Below are 20061 nucleotides of genomic sequence, written 5' to 3' on the forward strand. Positions count from 1 at the left end.
TAGCCTGGCCTGTGGGCCCTCCTGTCCCCAGGGGTCTGTCCCAGGAGCCACCATGGAGGGAGGGGCTGCCCAGGGCTCACACTCTCGGGCCTACAGGGAGCCCAGGCGGTGCCAGGCCACGTGGGACCAGCTTCTGGGAGGTGCAGGGCTTCAGCTGATGGCTCCAAGTCCCTGTCTGCTCCCAGAACCCCACGACTACACATGTTGTGTGTCACGGCAGCCCCTTGGGGAGACACAGCGAATCCCAGGGCCTGCACAAGGGGGGCCCTGCCGGGACTCAGGACTGAGCACAACCTTCCTGGAGCCTGGCCCAGGCCTGGGCATGGATTGTGAACCCTAAAACCTTGGGCTCAGGAACCACAGGTCCCAGAAGGCGGACACCAGGCCCCCCTCCATCCCTCCCAACATGTCAGAAGCCAATGGGCCAGCCGGGTGAGAGGCCCTGCCCAGCTACCCAGTGTTCATGGCTCCTAGACAAGCCTCTTGGCAGGAAGGAAGCACAGGTCGGGTGCAGAGAGGGAGGAGCGAGTGGGCCTGTGAGGTGGCATGGCCTTCCCCATCCCCCGCTGTGCACCCCGGGCAGGGACGCCGCCCACACCTGATGAGGGGGAAGCCACCAGCCCCCCCATCACCCCTTTGTGGCTCCTCAGACCTGCAAGAGTTCACAGCGAGGGCAGCTGGGATGGACGATCCTGGTGGGCTGGTGGGGCTCGGCCACGGCCACCAAGTGGCGGGGCAGGACTCACACCCCAGCTCTGACTGTGCAGCGGTTTCTGAGCCCAGCCCCAGCCGAACAGCCACGGACCCCGCAGTGCTGTGCATGCAGCCTCAGCCTCCACCACCTTCCAGCTCCTCTCCCTGGGACCGTCATGGGAACCCATCCCAAAGGCCCGTCCCGGGACCCTGGTGGGTCCCCTGCCCCCTGCCCCAAAACACCTCATCACGGGGTCCTGCACGTCGCCAGCAGTCAAGACCCTTCGACTCAGTCCTATGGTGGTCTCTACAAGGCTGGACAGAGCAGGGGCGTTGAGAACACGGGCTGGGTGGGAATCCGGAGATAGAGGGAGGAGGGTGGCAGGACCGGCCGTCAGCCATGCTGAGCACAGACGGCAGAGGAGGTGTGGGGCTTGGGCAGTTGGAGGTGCTTTGGAGAAGCCACAGTGGGTGTGAAGGCCCCAGAGCGAGGCCCAGCTGCTCGGCTATGTGAGCACACACAGCCCCCAGGCCTGCTAGAGGCAGAGCAAATGCAGGGGGTTCCCAGGAGCCTGAGAGTCCACAGCTGCCACCTGCTCCCAGACAAGGCTCCTGGCATGTCTGACCAGGAGCCTCTGGGGAAGTAGGGAAGCCCAGACTGGACAGTGGAGAGGAAGAGACCAGCAGGCAAGGACCCCCCGGCCAGGCATCACTACAGGGGACACAGAACCCAGAGGGCACCAGAGAGGAGAGACGGGGGGCCAGCAGGGGCCACGTGTTAATCTTCACCGACAGACACACGATGGTGTGGCTGCATTTCACAATGGGTGGGGCAGCTGGCAGTCGGACAGGGAGGCCGAGGGATCCATCCCTGTGGCCGAGGGGAGTTTGCAGGGCTGTCATCTCAGGAAGTGAAGGCTGGGCTGGGGTCGGGCTGCTGGGCCACGAGGGGCAGCGGGAGGGAGCCGCTGAGGCTGGAAGCTGCACCAGCCAGGCTGGGACCAGGGTGGCTGTGGCCCGGCTGGTACCGAGTGCCCATCCATGCAAGGGCAGCAGAGTGACCAGACGCTGGGGAAAGGAGAGCAGGTGTCAGTGAGAGAGTGGCCGGATGTTTCCGCGTGGGACTCTTTGCAGTCTCGATGGCAGACTTACAAAAAAGTAAACATTCCCTGTGGTGTTAGGGAAGCTGAGGAGGGCAGAGGGCAGAGTGCAAGCCAGGGTTTGGAGCAGATGTTCCTGGGGAGCCCCTGGGCTGGGCCAGCTGCTCGCAGAAGCCTGACAAGGTACAGGGAAGGAGGAACGAGGGGCAACCTCACTCAAAACCAGCTGCTCAGAGGAGCATAGCTTCTGGCAGAACCTCCGCGGTGGCCAAGCCCCAATTCCGGCTGCCTGCTCTGGACCTCTAAGGAGCTGTTCCTCTCGGTCCTAAGGGTGTGGGGGCTGGTGAGACACAAAGAGGCTGCAGTCACAAAGCCTCAGCGTGAAGGTCTCAGTGCTGGGACCAAGGGTGTATCTGGCACAGGCCTGGAAGGACCAGGGAGTGAATGGGGCCAGTGGTGAAGGAGAGAAGCTGTCGGCATAAGGATGGTAACGGCAGCCCACCTCAGCTGGGACAGCTGAAATGGAGCCAGGTGCCTGCTGAGACCAGTGACGCAGCCAGGAAGGCAGGGGACCCAGGAGCAGCTGTGAAGGAGAAAAGACGGCAGACGAACGGGCTGAGAGAGCATTTTACAGAGTCCTGAGTGCGCTTAAATCCCAGGATGGGGAGAGACTATGAAGAAGAGAAGGTGACAAATAGGGTGAGGTTCTTGGGTGGAGGGTAGGCCACAAGAGAGAGGCAGGAAGGCTCTGTGGCTGTTCCCATACTTTCTTTGTGAAACAAGAGCTGTGAAAACGTGTGGGGCAGAGAGAAGTGACAGAGTCAGGTCTGAGATCCAGGAAGAAACTGGTAGAGACAAAGCTGGCAAGAGAAGTGAGGCTGAACATTGATCAACCATAGCCTGTGTGACTATGGGGCACCATCTGAGGGTCACTTTGTGTGGATCTGTGTGGCTCCATCTAAGAGTCACATTGTGTGGATCCTGTGGCACTGTCTGAGGGTTACATTGTGTGGATCCCTGTGGCGCTGTCTGAAGGTCATGTTATGTGGATCTGTGTGACACCGTCTGAGGGTTACATTGTGTGGATCCTTGTGGCACTGTCTGAGGGTTATGTTGCGTGGATCTGTGTGGCACCATCTGAGGGTCACATTGTATGGATTTGTGTTTGGGACCATCTAAGGGTCATGAGGATCACGTTGCGTGGATCCATGTGGCTCCATCTGAGGGTCACGTTGTGTGGATTTATGTGTGGGACCATCAAAGGGTCATGAGGGTCACATTGTGTGGGTCCATGTGGCACCATCTGAGGGTCACATTGTGGGGATTTGTGTGTGGGACCATCAAAGGGTCATGAGGGTCACGTTGTGTGGGTCCATGTGGCACCATCTGAGGGTCACGTTGTGTGGATCTGTGTGACACCATCTGCTATCTCAGGGTCACATTGCATGGATTCATGTGTCACCATCTGAGGGTCATCCTGTGTGGAACTGTGTGGCACCATCTGCTATCTCAGGGTCACATTGCATGGATTCATGTGGCACCATCTGAGGGTCATGTTGTGTGGATCTGCATGGCACCATCTGAGGTCATCCTGTGTGGATCTATGTGACACCATCTGCTATCTCAGGGTCACATTGCATGGATTCATGTGGCACCATCTGAGGGTCATGTTGTGCTCTTTCCAGAATCTCTGGTATATGTCCAGGTGTCACGCTGTGATCTGTGTGGCACCATCTGAGTGTCACGTTATGTGAATCCATGTGGTATCAGCTGAGAGTCATGCTGTGTGGATCCGTGTGGCACTGTCTGGGGGTCACGTTGTGTGGATTTGTGTGTGGCACCATCTAAGGGTCATCTTGTGTGATGCCATCTGAGGATCACATGTGGATCCATGAGGCACCGTCTGAGGATCATGTTGTGTGGATCCATGTGGTGCCGTCTGAGGGTTATGAGGGTCACATTGTGGGGATCTGTGTGGTGCCATCTCAGGGTCACGTTGTGTGGATCTGCGTGGCAGCATCTCTGGATCACGTTTTGTGGATCCATGTGGCACCATCTCTGGATCATGTTGTGTGGATCTGCATGGTGCCGTCTGGGGGTCACATGGTGGGGATCTGTGTGGTGCTGTCTCAGGGTCACGTTGTGTGGATCCGTGTGGCACCATCTCTGGATCACCTGTGGATCTGCGTGGTGCTGTCTGGGGGTCACATTGTGGGGATCTGTGTGGTGCTGTCTCAGGGTCACGTTGTGTGGGTCCGTGTGGCACCATCTCTGGATCACGTTGTGTGGATCCATGTGGCACCATCTCTGGATCACGTTGTGTGGATCTGCATGGTGCCGAGGGTCACATTGTGTGGATCTGTGTGGTGCCGTCTGAGGGTCATGTTGTGCTCTTTCCATAATCACTGGTATATGTCCAGGTGTCATGCTGTGAAGATCAGCAACCAGGGAAGGACCCCAGGTGAGGGTGTCAGTGAGGTTGGCAAGGGATGGGTAAAAGGATGGGCTCCAGGTAGAAAGGGAGGGAAACAGTAACAGAGACTCTGAATTCATCAGGGAGCACACATGGTGGCCACTGTAGCACTGACGGCTGGTGGAGGAGACACTGTCCAAACTGCCACAGGCACAACAGGCACCACGACAAGCAGGCAGGAGTGTGCTGTGCTTGGCCTCAGGGGACACAGGTGCAGAGATGAGCCCTCGGGGGACGCAGGTGCAGAGATGAGCCCTCAGGGGTTGCAGGTGGTGAGATGAGCCCTCCCTCAGGGCCCATCCCTGTTTCAGATCCAATAAAGGGATGCTGGCTCCACTGCCCACGCTGCCACCCCTGCCAGGGCTCACTCACCCGTCTTCCTGCTCCACCATCTTTTAAATGCTGGTTTTCCTTCAATGCCAGCCCACATGGCTATGGGCAGCAGCTGTATCTCCAAGAATCAGGAAATGAGGAGCAGGAAGGGTGGGTGCCATTTAGGAGCACGCTAGCACCTCGGCCAGCCCCCAGCAGGCTTCCTCTGACCTCTCAACCTTGCTGCAGGGGAAGGGGGTGGAGGGGAGTTGCGAGGAGTCTGCCCTCTGCTGCTGCAGGGCCACCGTCCCTAGAAACAGCAGGAGATGTGAGGCGCATCCCAGGAGCTCCCATTCAGCTGGCGCAGTGGCTGAGGGCAGAGCCTGTTATTTTTGCCCCATTGACTGGTGAGGAGAAGGCCACAGAACCACCCTGTGCCCACTGCAGGTCGCACAGGTGGGAAGTCCTGACCCCAGCAGGGCTGACTCCGGAGCCGTCCACCTGGGTCACTGCCCCAGGGCACCCTGGCCTCATGTAAACAAATGTCAGAACCAGGAAGTAAGAGGAGGGTCTGGGGTCACATCCAACTCTCTGAAGGACAGAATCCCAGTCACCGGGGGGTGTCTGGTCTCAGTAACCCTCGCTGTGTCTGAGCTGAGGCAGAGCTCAGCTGACCTGTTCCTTGAGGGGCCGGAACCTAAGAGCCAAGAGAGGAGGGGCTGCTCTAAATCTGGTGGGAGTGAGGGTAGGAGTGAGGGTGGGTGGGTACCCCCTGGGAGCCAGAGGCAGGCAAAGTTCTCATCACGGTGGGCCCCAGACCCCAGGGGGCAGACCCCTGGGAGTGTGTGCCTGGGAGGCCAGAGGGGTGGAGGACAGACCCCAGGAGTGAAAGGACTCCCACCCCGGCCTGCCAGCTGCACCTGCCCTGGTTAAAGTGTCCGACGAACAAGCCCCCAATTAGAATGGGCCCATCCCACACCCTACCAATGGCTGTCTCTCAGGGAAGAGTGTAGGAGTGTCCTGCAGGGGGCTGAAGGCAGGAGAGGGTGGCGGGCACCAGGAGGCTTCAGGGACAAGGCGAGCAGGCAGGCTCAACAGGCATCCAGGAAGCCCGACGTGGCCGGAGGGCGGCAGGTGCGTGAGGTGCCAGGCAGGGCGGGGCCCCCCATGAGGCCTGTCCAAGTCTGCTGGACTGAGCACTGGGGGGCACCAGCATCCTCCGCACAGGGGTGCATGGAGCCAGGCTGGAGCCACAGGGACAGGCCCAGCTTTCACCGCCCGGTGGCCACATCCCAGTGCCCAGCAGGGCCCCTGGGCACCTCACACCTGGAGGGCAGCAGCCCCCACAGAGCTTGACGACAACCCCAGTGGTGCGGGCTCCAGGCCCACGGTGCGACAGCCTCTTTAGCCTCTTTCCTCTCTTGCGGCAGTGCCCTCACTTCAGCTCATTTGCTGACGAGCTCACTGACTACAAGACAAAGAATATGCTGGCCACACCCATCATGAATGGCAAAGACGTCGTGGCGGTGATCATGGCAGTGAACAAGCTCAACGGCCCATTCTTCACCAGCGAAGACGAAGATGTGAGTGTGGGGGGCACCTGGGCAGCCGCGCGTCTGCCTCCCTGCCTGCCTGCCCGCCCGCCTGTTCTGTGCTGCGCATCCACCTCTTTACCTGCCTGCCCGCCTGCCCGTGTGTTCTCTGCTGCGTGTCTGCCTCCTTACCTGCCTGCCCGCGTGTTCTGTGCTGCGTGTCTGCCTCCTTACCTGCCTGCCCGCGTGTTCTGTGCTGCGCGTCCACCTCCTTACCTGCCTGCCCGCCTGCCCGTGTGTTCTCTGCTGCGTGTCTGCCTCCTTACCTGCCTGCCCGCGTGTTCTGTGCTGCGTGTCTGCCTCCTTACCTGCCTGCCCGCGTGTTCTGTGCTGCGCGTCCACCTCCTTACCTGCCTGCCCGCCTGCCCGCGTGTTCTGTGCTGCGTGTCCACCTCCTTACCTGCCTGCCCGCCTGCCTGCGTGTTCTGTGCTGCGCGTCTGCCTCCCTGCCTGCCTCCCTGCCCGCCTGCCCGCGTGTTCTGTGCTGTGCGTCCACCTCCTTACCTGCCTGCCTGCCTGCCCGCGTGTTCTGTGCCACGCGTCTGCCTCCCTGCCTGCCTGCCCGTGTGTTCTGTGCTGTGCGTCCACCTCCTTACCTGCCTGCCTGCCTGCCTGCGTGTTCTGTGCCACGCGTCTGCCTCCCTGCCTGCCTGCCCGTGTGTTCTGTGCTGTGCGTCCACCTCCTTACCTGCCTGCCTGCCTGCCCGCGTGTTCTGTGCCACGCGTCTGCCTCCCTGCCTGCCTGCCCGCGTGTTCTGTGCTGCGCGTCTGCTGGGCTGCTGGGCTCCACGTGCTCATCTGCACATCGCTGTGCTCCTGTGTGTCTGTGCACACCTGTCTGTGTGTAAGAGAGAGAGATAGCTTGCGTGCCCACCCTGTGCACCTGAGCTTGTGTGTGCCAATCCATGTCTGCCTGTGGGGCACAGCTTCCTGGCGTGTCTGGGCACCCTCAGGCGAGCATGTTTCTCCTGCAAAATACCCACGGGGGCACATGTCTGAAAACTGGAATTTTAATTCCTCTTGTTGCAATTCCTGTTTCAGGTGTTCTTGAAGTACCTGAATTTTGCCACGTTGTACCTGAAGATCTATCACCTGAGCTACCTCCACAACTGCGAGACGCGCCGCGGCCAGGTACCCACACGCTGAGCACAGCTCTGCCCACGAGGGCCAGGGTCCCTCCGCCCATCTCGCTGCCTGCACAGAGGCGGGTGGTGGCAGGTGGTCTTGTGCTCACCTGGGTAGGTCCTGGGGTGGGCATTGCTCAGGGGAGAGGAGGGCTCCATGGCTTCTGTGGCTGTGCTGAGCTGCAATGGCCAGACCCATCTGCCACCTGCCTGCCATCTGGCCAGAGTGGGTGTGAGGCACCTGCAGAGGGGGAAAGGGGCACCTTTCCTAGAGGCTGCCCCCAACCTCCTTGGGAGAAGCCAGTATGAGTGACGAGTGAGCAGGGAGCAGAGGGGCTCCCTGGCAGGTCCAGCCCTGGTTGAGAGAGGGTGCAGGGGCAGGTCCGGCCCTGACTGAGAGAGGGTGTAGGGGCAGGTCCGGCCCTGGCTGAGAGAGGGTACGGGGGCAGGTCTGGCCCTGGCCGAGACGCTGGGGAGGGAGGCCTGAGGACCTTAAGGAGTCAGGTGTGCCGAGGTGCGTGGGAAAACGCAGGGGGATGACCTCCAGGGCAGGTGGTCCTCCCGTCTGAGACCCTGGCTCAGGGGAGACCTGGATGGATAGTGAGTGGGCTGGGGGAGGGAGGCTCTATGTTGGGGCTGGGAAGCCGTCCATGCAATGGCCTGGGGGCTGAGCCACAAAGGAGAACTGTGAAGACGGCGGTCACCTCCTGCCTTCTCCGTGTCTTGTTCTGCCTGCGGATGCTGCCTGGCCCTGGTCACCTGCTGCGAGCCTGCTGAACGTGGCGAGAGGCTGAGGTCTTTATCTCAGCATCTGGAGGAAGGCTGGGTTTAGGGGCCTCCTCCTGGCCCCAGGGCTGCCTCAGGGGCAGTCTGGAAAGGCGGTCAGGGCCCCTGGGGCATCCAGCCATCCAGCCAGTGGACACCTGTGAGAAAACCCCCCGGAGGGAAGTCTCAGCCCCAATCCAAGCAGGCCTCTCACGGCCAGGGCCGTGGGAACCAGGGACCAGGGAGAGCATCTGTGTAATGTATCTGGAATTCTTTTGCGTGAGAGATTTGTCTCTTCTCCTCATTTACTAATTTATTCAATCATTTATTTATGTCAGTGTGGACTTATGAGTATTGTATGCTTAGGTTATAATTCAATATGATTTTATTTATTTTCTTGCTCACGTGAGTCCAGCTTTGGCCACTGGAAGCTCTTTTACTTGGCTTCTGTGCCCTTTTTACGTGACCCCATCACTGTGGGGTTTTGCTTTGCTTTGTTTTTTGTTTTTTTTTTTATGTTTTTGGTTTTTGTTTTGTTTTGTTTTTGAGACAGGGTCCATCTGGGCTCGCTACAACCTCTGCCCCCCCGGTTCAAACGATTTCCTGCCTCAGCCTCCCGAGTAGCTGGGATCACAGACATGTGCCTCCAGGCCTGGCTAATTTTTGTATTTCTAGTAGAGACGGGGTTTCACCATGTTGGCCAGGCTGGTCTCCAACTTCTGACCTCAAGTGATCTGCCCACCTCAGCCTCCCAGAGTGCTGGGATTACTGGTTTGAGGCACCGCACCGAGCCTGGCTTGGTTTTGAAATGGATGCCCCTGTCTCATTGTGTATTTCCTGCCCTGGTCTTGCCATCAGCCACTTCTCCAGGGAGCCTGGTTCCTTCTGTTGGAAAGCAGTAACAGGAGCCGCGGCCTGGGGGCCGGCTGTGCTTGTTGCCGGGGTCACTGCTTCCAGGCCCTCTCGTCCGGCACAGCGAGAGGCAGCCGTGCTCTGCCAGCCCTCGCTCGTCCCCTGCGTGTGCGCAGAGCTGCAAATGTTCCTGCACGTGACCATCGCGCTCGAGCTGACGTCTCCAACCCTGGTCCACGACAGCGCGACACATTCTGGCTTCTTCCTCTTGCTGCTGTGTGAATTCCCATGCAACAGTGGGATGCCTGGGAGCTGTCCTCCGCACAGGCACTTAATTGTCTGATACCAGCGCAGGGGAATAGCCGCGTCAGGACTGTTCACCCACACCCCGTGGAGAACAGTGTTATCAAGTAGAATACGGGGTTGATGAAGAGTTTCTTTTGCCTTCAGTCTTACTGAGGCCAGAAGGCGGCTTGCTCTGTTCCTTCCTGCCAGTGACGAGTGAGCGTTCCTGCTGCTCTGCACCCTCACCAGCGTTTGGTGGAACTGTAGTCTGATGGGTGTATGGTAGCATCTCATTATTGCTGTAATTTACAATCCCCTAATGACAGATGATGTCGCACGTCTATTCATTTACATATTTGCCATCTGTACATCTTAATCTTTGGTGAGGTGTCTGTTCAGATCTTTTGCCCTGTTTGATGGGGTTGTGTTCTTAGCATTTGAAGAGTTTTGTTTTTATTTTATTTATTTATTTATTGGAGACAGGGTCTTACTCTTGTCATTCAGGTGGAGTGCAATAGTGAAATCTTGGCTCACTGCAACCTCCGCCTCCCAGGTTCAAGCGATTCTCCTGCCTCAGCCTCCAGAGTAGCTGGGATTACAGGCGCCCACCACCACGCCCAGCTAGTTTTTGTATTTTTAGTAGAGACGGGGTTTCACCATGTTGGCCAGGCTGGTCTCGAACTCCTGACCTCAAATGATCCTCCTGCCTCGGCCTCCTAAAGTGCTGTGATTACAAGTGTAAGCCACTGCACCCAACCAGAGTTTTTAAATATATTTTCAACACAAGTCCTTTATCAGATATGTTTGCTTTGAGAGCTTCTTGCTAAATTGGGGTCCCATTGAGGGCCCCAATGAGGGTCCCAGTAATGAGGGGTCCTCGTTACCCTAGCAGGTAATGAGGGGGGCTGGGCCTGGTGTTTATCCTGCACCTTTCACAGGATCTTCTTTCATTCAGTGGGCAGCCTCGTGCCTAATTATCCAGCCCTCAACCAGGGGCTCACTCACACAGGAAACTTGTTCATATTGGCAGGTGCCTGAGGCTTGTGTCTGACCCATGCCCAGGTCATGCCTACCTGGCCATCGCTCTGGCACAGGGAGCCCAACCCTCTGTTCCCTCCAGGGTCCCAGGGAAAAGCTGGCCTGGGGTAGCTCCTAGCTCTTCAGATGGAAGCACAAATTCAGTCCACCACTGTGATAGGAAACACGTGCAAAGATTTTTACTACAGGTCCTGGGCAGGAAAGGCACCGTGATTCTGGAGGGCAGTTTTGTTTTTTTGGGGGGTGTTTTTTTTTTTCTTGAGACAAGGCCTCACTCTGCTGCCCAGGCTGGAGTGCGGTGGTGCAATCATAGCTCACTGCAGCCTCAAACTCCTGGGCTCAACAGATCCTCCTGCCTCAGCCTCCCAAGCAGCTGGGACTACAGGTGCACCCCACCACACCTGGGTAATTATTTTTTTTTTAGAGACAGGGTCTTGCTGTGTTGCCCAGGATGGCAGAAGGGCAGTTCTGTGATGTTTTTCTTGGGGTCCACAGTTCACAGGAGGCAGAAATGGCAAGTCAGGCAGAGCAGGGGCTCTGCTAGCAGCAAACATGAGGGAATAGAGAGCAGGTCCCTTAAGTTCATGGGCAAATGTCTGAACAGCCTTTTCTAAAGGAAAGGGGGAGAAGTGGGGAGCCCAGGCTTCTGGGCAGGAGAGATGCCTCTAAGTTCTTATGGCTGCCATCGGCTTGAGCCACTGAGGTGCAGAACTGGAAACTGTCAAGGGTGACTAAGCCCTGCTTCTGGCATGAGAAAGTTAAACTTGTATTCAAAAGTGATGCTGAGGCCGGGCACGGTGGCTCATGTCTGCAATCCCAGCACTTAGGGAGGCCGAGGCGGGCAGATCACCTGAGGTCAAGAGTTTGAGACCAGCCTGGGCAACACGGTGAAACCCTGTCTCTACTAAAATACAAAAAATTAGCCAGACATGGTGGCGCATGCCTGTAGTCCCAGCTACTCGGGAGGCTGAGGCAGGAGAATCGCTTGAACCCAGGAGCTGGGTCTCCCCCTCAGGTCCTCCTCCCCAAGACCTGCAGTGAGCCGAGATCACCCCACTGTACTCCAGCCTGGGCGACAGAGCGAGACTCCATCTCCAAAAAAATAAAAAAAGTGATGCTGAGACCAGGAGCAGTGGCTCACCTCTACAGGCCCAGCACTTTGGAAGGCTGAGGTGGGAGAATCACTTGAGGCCAGGAATTTGAGATCAGCCTGGTCAATATAGTGAGACCCTATCTCTACAAAAAAAGAAGAGTGATTTGCAAATATTTTCTACCAAGATGTGGCTTGTCTTTTAACTCACTTTACACTGTATTTTGCAAAATAGTTTTAAATTTTATTATAATAAAGTCCAATTGGCCAGGCGTGGTGGCTCATGTAATCCCAGCACTTTGGGAGGCCAAGGCAGGCCAATCACCTGAGGTCAGGAGTTCAAGACCAGCCTGGCCAAGATGGTGAAACCCCATCTCTACTAAAAAAAATATGAAAATTAGCCAGGCATGGTGGCGGGCACCTGTAATCCCAGTTACTCAGGAGGCTGAGGCAAGAGAATCACTTGAACCTGGGAGACAGAGGTTGCAGTGAGCTGAGATCGCACCATTGCACCCCAGCCTGGACGACAGAGTGAGACTCCATCTTGGGAAAAAAAAAATCCAACTTAGCATTTTTTTTCCCTCATGGATTGTATTTTGTGTTGTATCTAAAAACTCATCACTAAACCCAAGGTCACCTACATTTTCTCTTATTGTCTGCTAGAGGTTGTATAGATTTGTATTTTACGTTAGATGTGTGATTCATTTTCTGAAAGGTGTGTAAGGACTGCATCTAGATTAATTTTTTGTGTTGTTGTTGGCATGTGGAAGTCCAGTTGATCCAGCACCATATGTAGAAAAAGCCTACCTTTTCTCCGTCGTATTGCTTTTGCTCTTTTGTCAAAGATCACCTGGCTCTGTTGGTGAGTCTATTCCTGAGCTCTTTATTCTGTTCCACTGTTGTATGTGTTTATTCATTCATGATACCAGACCATCTTGATCACTGTAGGTTTAGAGTAAGTCTTGAAGTTGGGAATGTCAGCGCTCTAGTTGTCTTTCTTCTGCAGTATTGTGCTAGCTATTCTGGGTTTGTTGCCTTTCCACATAAACCTTAAGAGTCAGTTTGTCAATATCCACAAAGTAGCTTACTGGTATTGTAATTGGGACTGTATTAAATCTGTAGATCAAGTTGGGAAAAATTGCCATCTTAGAAATAATGTATCTTCCAATTGATAAACACAGAATATCTCTTCATTTATTTAGATCTTTGATTCCTTTTATCAGAATTTTGCAGTTTCTGCATACAAATCCATAATTTTATTAGATTTGTACCTAAGTATTTCATTTTCCCATGGTAATGTAAGAGATATTGGGTTCTTAATTTCAAATTCCAATTCTTCATTGCTGTTATAAAGCAAAGCAATGGACCTTTGTATGTTAACTTTGTATCCTGGGCAGAGAAGAGGTGAGGGTGAGGCGGTCAGCGCAGGAGCCAGGTCAGGCTGGGCAGGGGGTCCCTGAGTGCCTGAGGCCTCACCTTCTCCTTGGTCATGTCCAGGGGGCTCACCAAGTACCGTCACAGCCACACTTTTAAAACCAAGGTCTATTGGGCTGTGCGGCAGGGGCAGGCCACCTAGGCGTCCCAGCTCCTGGGGGACCCATGAGGCCCTGACCACAGCCCCGCACACAGCCGTCAGAGACACACGTTTTTTGTTTTTTGTTTTTTGTTTTCTGAGACAGAGTCTCACTCTGTCACCCAAGCTAGAGTGCAGTGGTGCAATCTCAGCTCACTGCAACCTCCACCTCCCGGGTTCAAGCGACTCTCCTGCCTCAGCCTCCCAAGTAGCTGAGACTACTGATGTGCATCACCATGCCCACCTAATTTTTGTATTTTTAGTAGAGATGGGGTTTCACCATGTTGGCCAGGCTGGTCTTAAACTCCTGACCTCAGGTGATCTGCCCACATCAGCCTCCCAAAGTGCTGGAATTACAGGCCTGAGCCACCATACCAAGCCAGGAGTTTTTTATTGATTATTGGTGTTTTTACCTAGACAATCATGTCATCTGCAAACAAAGATAGTTTTATTTCTTCCTTCTCAATCTATATACATTGTATTTCTTTTTCTTGCCTTATTGCACTAGCTAGGACTTCAAGTATAATGTTGAATGTGAGTGGTGAGAGGAGGGAGATATCTTTGCCTTATTCCCAATCTTAGGAGAAAGCATCCACTTTCTCACCATTAAGAATGACATCACCCAGCTGGGCATGGTGGCTCATGCCTATAATCCCAGCACTTTGGGAGGCCAAGGTGGGTGGATCACCTGAGGTCGGGAGTTTGAGATCAGCCTGACCAACATGGAGAAAAACCCCCATCTCTACTAAAAATACAAAAAATTAGCCAGGCATGGTGGTGCATGCCTATAATTCCAGCTACTTGGGAGGCTGAGACAGGAAAATCGCTTGAACCTGGGAGGCAGAGGTTGTGGTGAGCCAAGATCATGCCATTGCACTCCAGCCTGGGCAACAAGAGTAAACTCCGTCTGAAAAAAAACAAAACTAAACTAAAAAAAGAATGACATCACCCAGCATGGTGGCGCATGCCTATAATCCCAGCACTCCGGAAGGCTAAGGCAGGCAGATAGCTTGAGCCCAGGAGCTTGAGACCAGCCTGGGCAACATGGCGAAACACCATCTCTACAAAAAATGCAAAAAAGTTAGCCAGGTGTGGTGGTGTGTGCCAGCAGTCCCAGCAACTCGCCACTGCACTCCAACCTGGACAACAGACACTGTCTCAAAAAAAAAAAAAAAAAAAAAAAAAGAATGCCCTTAGCTCTAGGGTTTTTGTTGAATTTTTAAAATCCACTTGAGGAAGTTCTCTCTATTTCTAGTTTGCTAAGTGTTTTTATTCAGAATGAGTGTTGGATTTTTCAAATTTTTTTCTGCATTGATTGATAACATCATGTATTTTTTGAACAAATTGTGAACGAGCTTTGCATACCTGGAATAAATGCCACCTGGTCATGTAGTGTAATTATTATTTTCATACATTGTTAAATCGGTCTTGCCATGTTTTGTTAAGAATTTTGGCATCTATAAGCCGGGTGTGGTGGCTCACACCTATAATCCCAGCACTTTGGGAGGTTGAGGCGGGCGGATCACGAGGTCAAGAGATTGACACCATCCTGGCCAACATGGTGAAACCCCGTCTCTACTAAAAATGCAAAAATTAGCTGGGTATGGTGGCAGACATCTGTAGTCCCAGCTACTCAGGAGGCTGAGGCAGGAGAATCACTTGAACCCGGGAAGTGGAGGTTGCAGCGAGCCAAGATCATGCCACTGCACTCCAGCCAGGGAGACAGAGCGAGATTCCATCTCAAAAAAAGAAAAAAAAAAAGAATTTTTGCATCTATATTCATGAGCTACATTGGTCTGTAGTTTTTCTTTCTTATAATGTCTTTATCTGGTTTTGCTATTAGGATAATTTTGACCTCATTGAATGAGATAAGAGTGTTTCCTCTGCTTCTATTTTTTGGAAGGGATTGTAGTGAATTGACATAACATCTTTCCTAAATGTTTGGTCAGATTCACCAGTGAAACTATTAGGGACTGGTGCTTTCTTTTTGGATGATTATTAATTATTGATTCAATTTCTTTAATACTCAGAGAACTCTTCAGATTCTTCTAATTCTCCTGGTGTGAGTCTTGGTAGTTTGTGTCTTTCTAGTGATCAGTCTATTTCATCTAAGTTAAAATCAAATTTTGAGGCATAGAGTTGTCATAATATTTATTATTTATTTTCTTCTGCTTGCTTTAGGCTTAATTTGAAGTTCTTTTTCTAGTTTCTTAAGCTTTGAGTGTTGATTTAGATCTTTCTTCTTGTTTATTATGTGCATTCAATACTATAAATTTCCCTCCAAGCACTGCTTTCCCTGCACCTGACAAATTCTGACAGGTTGTATATTTTTATTCTTATTTAGTTCAAAATCTTTTTTTTTTTTTTTTTTTTTGAGGGAGTCTCGCTCTGTAGCCAGGCTGGAGTGCAGTGGTGGGATCTCGGCTCACTGCAACCTCCACCTCCCGGGTTCATGCCATTCTCCTGCCTCAGCCTCCCGAGTAGCTGGAACTACAGACACACACCACCACACCCAACTAATTTTTGCATTTTTAGTAGAGACGGGGTTTCACCATGTTGGCCAGGATGGTCTCGATCTCTCGACCTCGTGATCTGCCCGCCTCGGCCTCCCAAAGTGCTGGGATTACAGGCGTGAGCCACCGTGCCCCTAGTTCAAAATCTTTTAAAAGGTCTCTTCAGACTCTGGCCCATCTGTTATTTGGAAGTGTGTTGTTAAATCCATTTTAAATTTTTCAGCTATATTTCTGTTATTGATTTCTAATTTAATTGCACTATGGTATAAGAACATATTTTTCATTATTTTTATTTTCAAAATTTTGTTAAGATGTGTTTTATGGCCTAGAATGTGGTTTATCTTGCTGTATGCTCCACGTGACCTTGAGAAGAATGGGTATTGTGCTGTTGGTGGATGAGGTAAATTATAGATGTCAATTATGTCCATTCGAATAACAGTGTTTTTGTTTTTTTTATTTTTATTTTTTTGAGACAGATTCTTTCTCTGTTGCCCAGGCTGGAGCGCAGTGGTGTGATCTCAGCTCACTGCAACCTCCACCTCGTGGATTCAGGTGATTCTCCCGCCTCAGCCTCCCGAGTAGCTGGGACTACAGGCACACGCCACCACGCCCACCTACTTTTTATATTTTTAGTAGAGACGGGATTTCCCCATGTTGCCCAGGTTGGTCTCGAACTCCCAGCCTCAGATGATCCGCCCACCTCGGCCTCCCAAAGTGCTGGGATGACAGGCGTGAGCCACCATGCCCGGCCCACAGTGTTGTTTAGTTCAGCAATGTCCTTACTGAGCCTCTGCCTGCTGGATGTGCTCATTCTGATAGAGGGTACTAAGTCTCCAACAGTAGTGGAGGATGCGTCTCTCCTTACAGCTCCATCAGCTTTTGCTTCATGTGTTTCGAAGCTTTGTTATTAGATGTGTGAACATGAATGATTTTTATGTCTTCATAGAGAAACAACCCCTTTATCATGTTGTCATGCCCCTTCCACCAACAATTTTCCTTGTTCTAAAGTACTCTTTGTCTAAATTAATATAGCTACCCCAGTGTCTTTGGATTATTATTAGCATAGCATATATTTCTTCATTCCTTACTTTTAAACTATGTGTGTCTTTATACTTACAGTGGGTTTTTTATAGACAACATATATAGGGTCAGGTCTTAGTTCTTTTTATCCGCTCTGAAAATCTGTCAAGTGGTGTATTTAGGCTAGTCACATTTTTTTTTTTTTTTTTTTTTTTGAGACGGAGTCTCGCTCTGTCGCCCAGGCTGGAGTGCAGTGGCGCGATCTCGGCTCACTGCAAGCTCCACGTCCCAGGTTCACGCCATTCTCCTGCCTCAGCCTCCCGAGTAGCTGGGACTACAGGCGCCCGCCACCACGCCCGGCTAATTTTTTGTATTTTTAGTAGAGACGGGGTTTCACCGTGTTAGCCAGGATGGTCTCGATCTCCTGACCTCGTGATCCGCCCGCCTCGGCCTCCCAAAGTGCTGGGATTACAGGCGTGAGCCACCGCGCCCGGCCAGGCTAGTCACATTTAAAGTGATTATTGATATAGTTGGATTAATATATACCATATTCTTAAACATTTTCTCTGTGTTGCACTTACTCTTTATTATTATCATCCCCTCTTTTTTTCTGCCTTCTCTGGTTTTAATTGAACGTCTTATCCCACACTCTCTCCTCTCTTAGCTTATCAGTTATACTTGTTTTTCCAAAAAATTTTAGCATTTCCCCAGAATTTGCAATAATCATTTATGACTACTCTAAGCCCTCTTCCAAATAGCATTATACTGCTTCACTTAGAGTGTGGCTATCTTACCACAATGTACCTACAACTTCTCACTTCCACCCTTATAAAATTTCTGCCATTTATTTTACTTATCCACGTGCTATAATCATGTAATACACTGTTACTATTATTACTTTGAACAAATAGCTATTATTAGAGAAATTAAGAAAAAGAAAATATGTTGCTTTCCTGTCATTTATTTATTTTCTGCTGCTCTTCCTTTTTTCACGCATATGCAAGTTTCTGATCTATCTCATTCTTCCTGTTTCCAAGGAACTTCTTTGAACATTTTCTGCTGGGCAAGTCCACTGGTAACACATTCCTCAGTTTCTGTTTATCTGAGAAAGTCTTTATTTCTCCTTCACTTCTTAAGGATAATTTTACTGTATACAGAATTATAAGTTAGCACATTTTTTTCTCAACACTTCCAATACTTCACTCTCCTCTTGCTCGCATCGTTTCTGATGAGATGTTTCCAACGTCTCGTTCCACTCTTGGTCAGATGTTCCCCCACCCCCAGCTTCCCTCGAGGTTTTCAGCTTGGTTGTCTGCAGTTTGAATATGACGTGCCTTAGGATCAGTTTTTTGGCATTTGTCTTTTTTGACAGTCACTGAGCATCCTAGACGCGCGGTTTGGTGTCTGTCAATACTTTTGGAAAATCTCAGCCATTATTACTTCCAACATGTCTTCTCCTTCGCTCTTTCTGCTCCTTCCGGCACCCGCCGCCCACTCGCACCTTCTGTATTTGTCTCTCTGCTCCGCTCGCTCCGCTCGTGGTTCCCTCTGCGTTTCTGTGTTCGCGCTCCCGGCCCCCTTCCTCAGACACGCGCAGCCTCCGGCCGGGCGGCGGCGCACTGCGTTTCCACCTCGCATTTCCTGTACTCCAGCGCGCCTTGTCCTTCCCAGAGCGTCCATCTCTTTGCTTATGTTACCATCTGCTCCGGTGCGCTGCCTCCGTTTTCTAGTAGCGCCTTTAGCATATTGATCATCATAATTTTCCTTTTTTTTTTTTGAGACATTGTCTTGCTCTGTGGCCCTGGCTGGAGTGCAGTGGCTCAATCTCGGCTCACTGCAGCCGCCGCTTCCTGGGTTCCAGTGATTCTCCTGCCTCAGCCTCCTGAGTAGCTGGGATTACAGGTGCCCACCACCGCGGCCCGGCTAATTTTTGTATTTTTAGTAGAGATGAGTGTCACCATGTTGGCCAGGCTGGTCTTGAACTCCTGACTTCAGTTGAACTGCCCGCCTCAGCCTCCCAAAGCACTAGAATTACAGGCATGCGCCACCTCGCCTGGCCTGATCATAGTAATTTTAAATTCCCAGTCTGATAATTCCCAACTTCGTGTCACATCTGAGTCTGGTTCTGAGGCTTGCTTTGCCTTTTTGGACTGTTGCTTTTTCTTGCCTTTTAGCATGACTTATAATTTTTGGCCAAAGCAGGGACTGGGGCAAATCAGCCTTGAGTGTGGGATTTGGGGTCCATCTGGCCGGGAGCTGGGCTGTATTGAATGAACATTTGCTGCAGCTGAGGGTGACAGCAGCTTCCGCGCCCTTGTTTATGGTTTGTTTTTGCTTCTGTATTAGCTTGAGCTGCCATAACAAAATACCACACACCGAGCACCTGAGACAGTGGGCATTCGTTTCTGACACTTCTGGAGGCTGTGAAGTTCCAGATGAAGGTGCTGACCAGGTTCCATTTCTGGCGAGGGCTCTCTCCCTGGCTTGCTGTGTCCTCGTCCCATAAGGGCACGTCTCGTAGGGGCCCCAGGCTCGTGACCTCACCTAACCCTAATCATCCCCCAGGGCCCCACCTCCACTCACCATCGCATCTCGGGTGAGGGCTTCACAGATGCATGGGGGGAGGGGCACGCAATCTAGTACACAGCGGGAACCACCCAGCAACAGACCTCAGTTTTAAAAGTGTGGCTCTGGCCAGGTGTGATGGCTCATGCCTGTAATCCCAGCACTTTGGGAGGCTGAGGCGCGCAGATCACCTGAGGTCAGGAGTTCGAGACCAGCCTGGCCAAAATGGTGAAACCCCATCTCTAGTAAAAAATACAAAAAATTAGCTGGGCGTGGTGGTGCATGCCTATAACCCCAGCTACTCAGGAGGCTGAGGCAGGAAAATTGCTTGAACCCGGGAGGCAGAGGTAGCAGTGAGCCAAGATCGCGCCACTGCACTTTAGCCTGGGCAACAAGAGCAAAACTCCATCTCGAAAAAAAAAAGAAAGAAAGAGCCAAGAGTCAGGCGTATTTGCCCGTTCTGTTGTCTGGTCACCCCAGCCCTAAACCAGGCAACAAGTGAATTACCAACACCTAGGAAACTCCTTGTTTCCAGCCTCTCAGTCTGCAGGCATGTGGAGACCAGCTCAAGGTTCTAACACGTGACCTTGTGTCTCCATGTGAGACTTTCGATTTTGCACCAGACATTGCCCAGTCCTAGGAAAAGCTGTTTCTGGGTCTTGCCCTCCGAACGGCATTTTTAGGCATCCTGACTTGCAGGAGGCACAGGCCTGCCTCACGGCTCTTTTTGAAAATAAAAGTTTGTGATGAGCAAAGATTGGCCCCCGCAGTCCGCCCAACGCCTGCACTTCGTCTGCCTCCTCCTTGAGCTGTGGAAGGAAAGCTGGTCACTGGGATTGAAGCAGCCTCTGGGCGCTCCCCCCTCCCTCTGTCCCGGGCCCTCACCTGGACAATCAGGAACTACCTTCTGTCCCAGGCACCCTCCAGCTGGAGGCCCCTGCCATTCCCTTTCTGAAAAGCCTCTCGGACACTCCCATCAGAGCCAACAGAGGCCGCAGGAAAGCCATGGGTTAGGCCCTACAGAGCTCAGGTTTCTCTCTGACCTGTCACGGCAGCTGCCTGTTCG

At 52.5% G+C, this 20061-nt stretch overlaps 1 protein-coding gene across 6 annotated transcripts in view, besides 1 other annotated feature; it reads left to right on the plus strand.

Moving 5' to 3' along the window:
- Window positions 1-20061, plus strand: part of PDE6B (phosphodiesterase 6B) — a 45210-nt gene that overhangs the window by 3096 nt on the left and 22053 nt on the right. For all 6 annotated transcript variants that reach the window (XM_047415773.1, XM_047415772.1, NM_000283.4 and 3 more), the window contains exons 2-3: window positions 6009-6161; window positions 7212-7301. In XM_047415773.1, coding sequence (XP_047271729.1) covers window positions 6009-6161; window positions 7212-7301 — 243 coding nt within the window. The remainder of the gene's footprint in view (window positions 1-6008; window positions 6162-7211; window positions 7302-20061) is intronic.
- Window positions 6087-6587: an enhancer, noted in NCBI's record as "H3K27ac-H3K4me1 hESC enhancer chr4:628544-629044 (GRCh37/hg19 assembly coordinates)". NCBI's record gives its function as "activates a minimal SCP1, AML or CMV promoter by ChIP-STARR-seq in naive H9 embryonic stem cells {active_cell/tissue: H9 hESC(naive)}" and the evidence as "EXISTENCE:reporter gene assay evidence [ECO:0000049][PMID:30033119]".

The sequence above is a fragment of the Homo sapiens genome, chromosome 4, assembly GCF_000001405.40.
Source record: "Homo sapiens chromosome 4, GRCh38.p14 Primary Assembly".
NCBI lineage: Eukaryota > Metazoa > Chordata > Mammalia > Primates > Hominidae > Homo > Homo sapiens.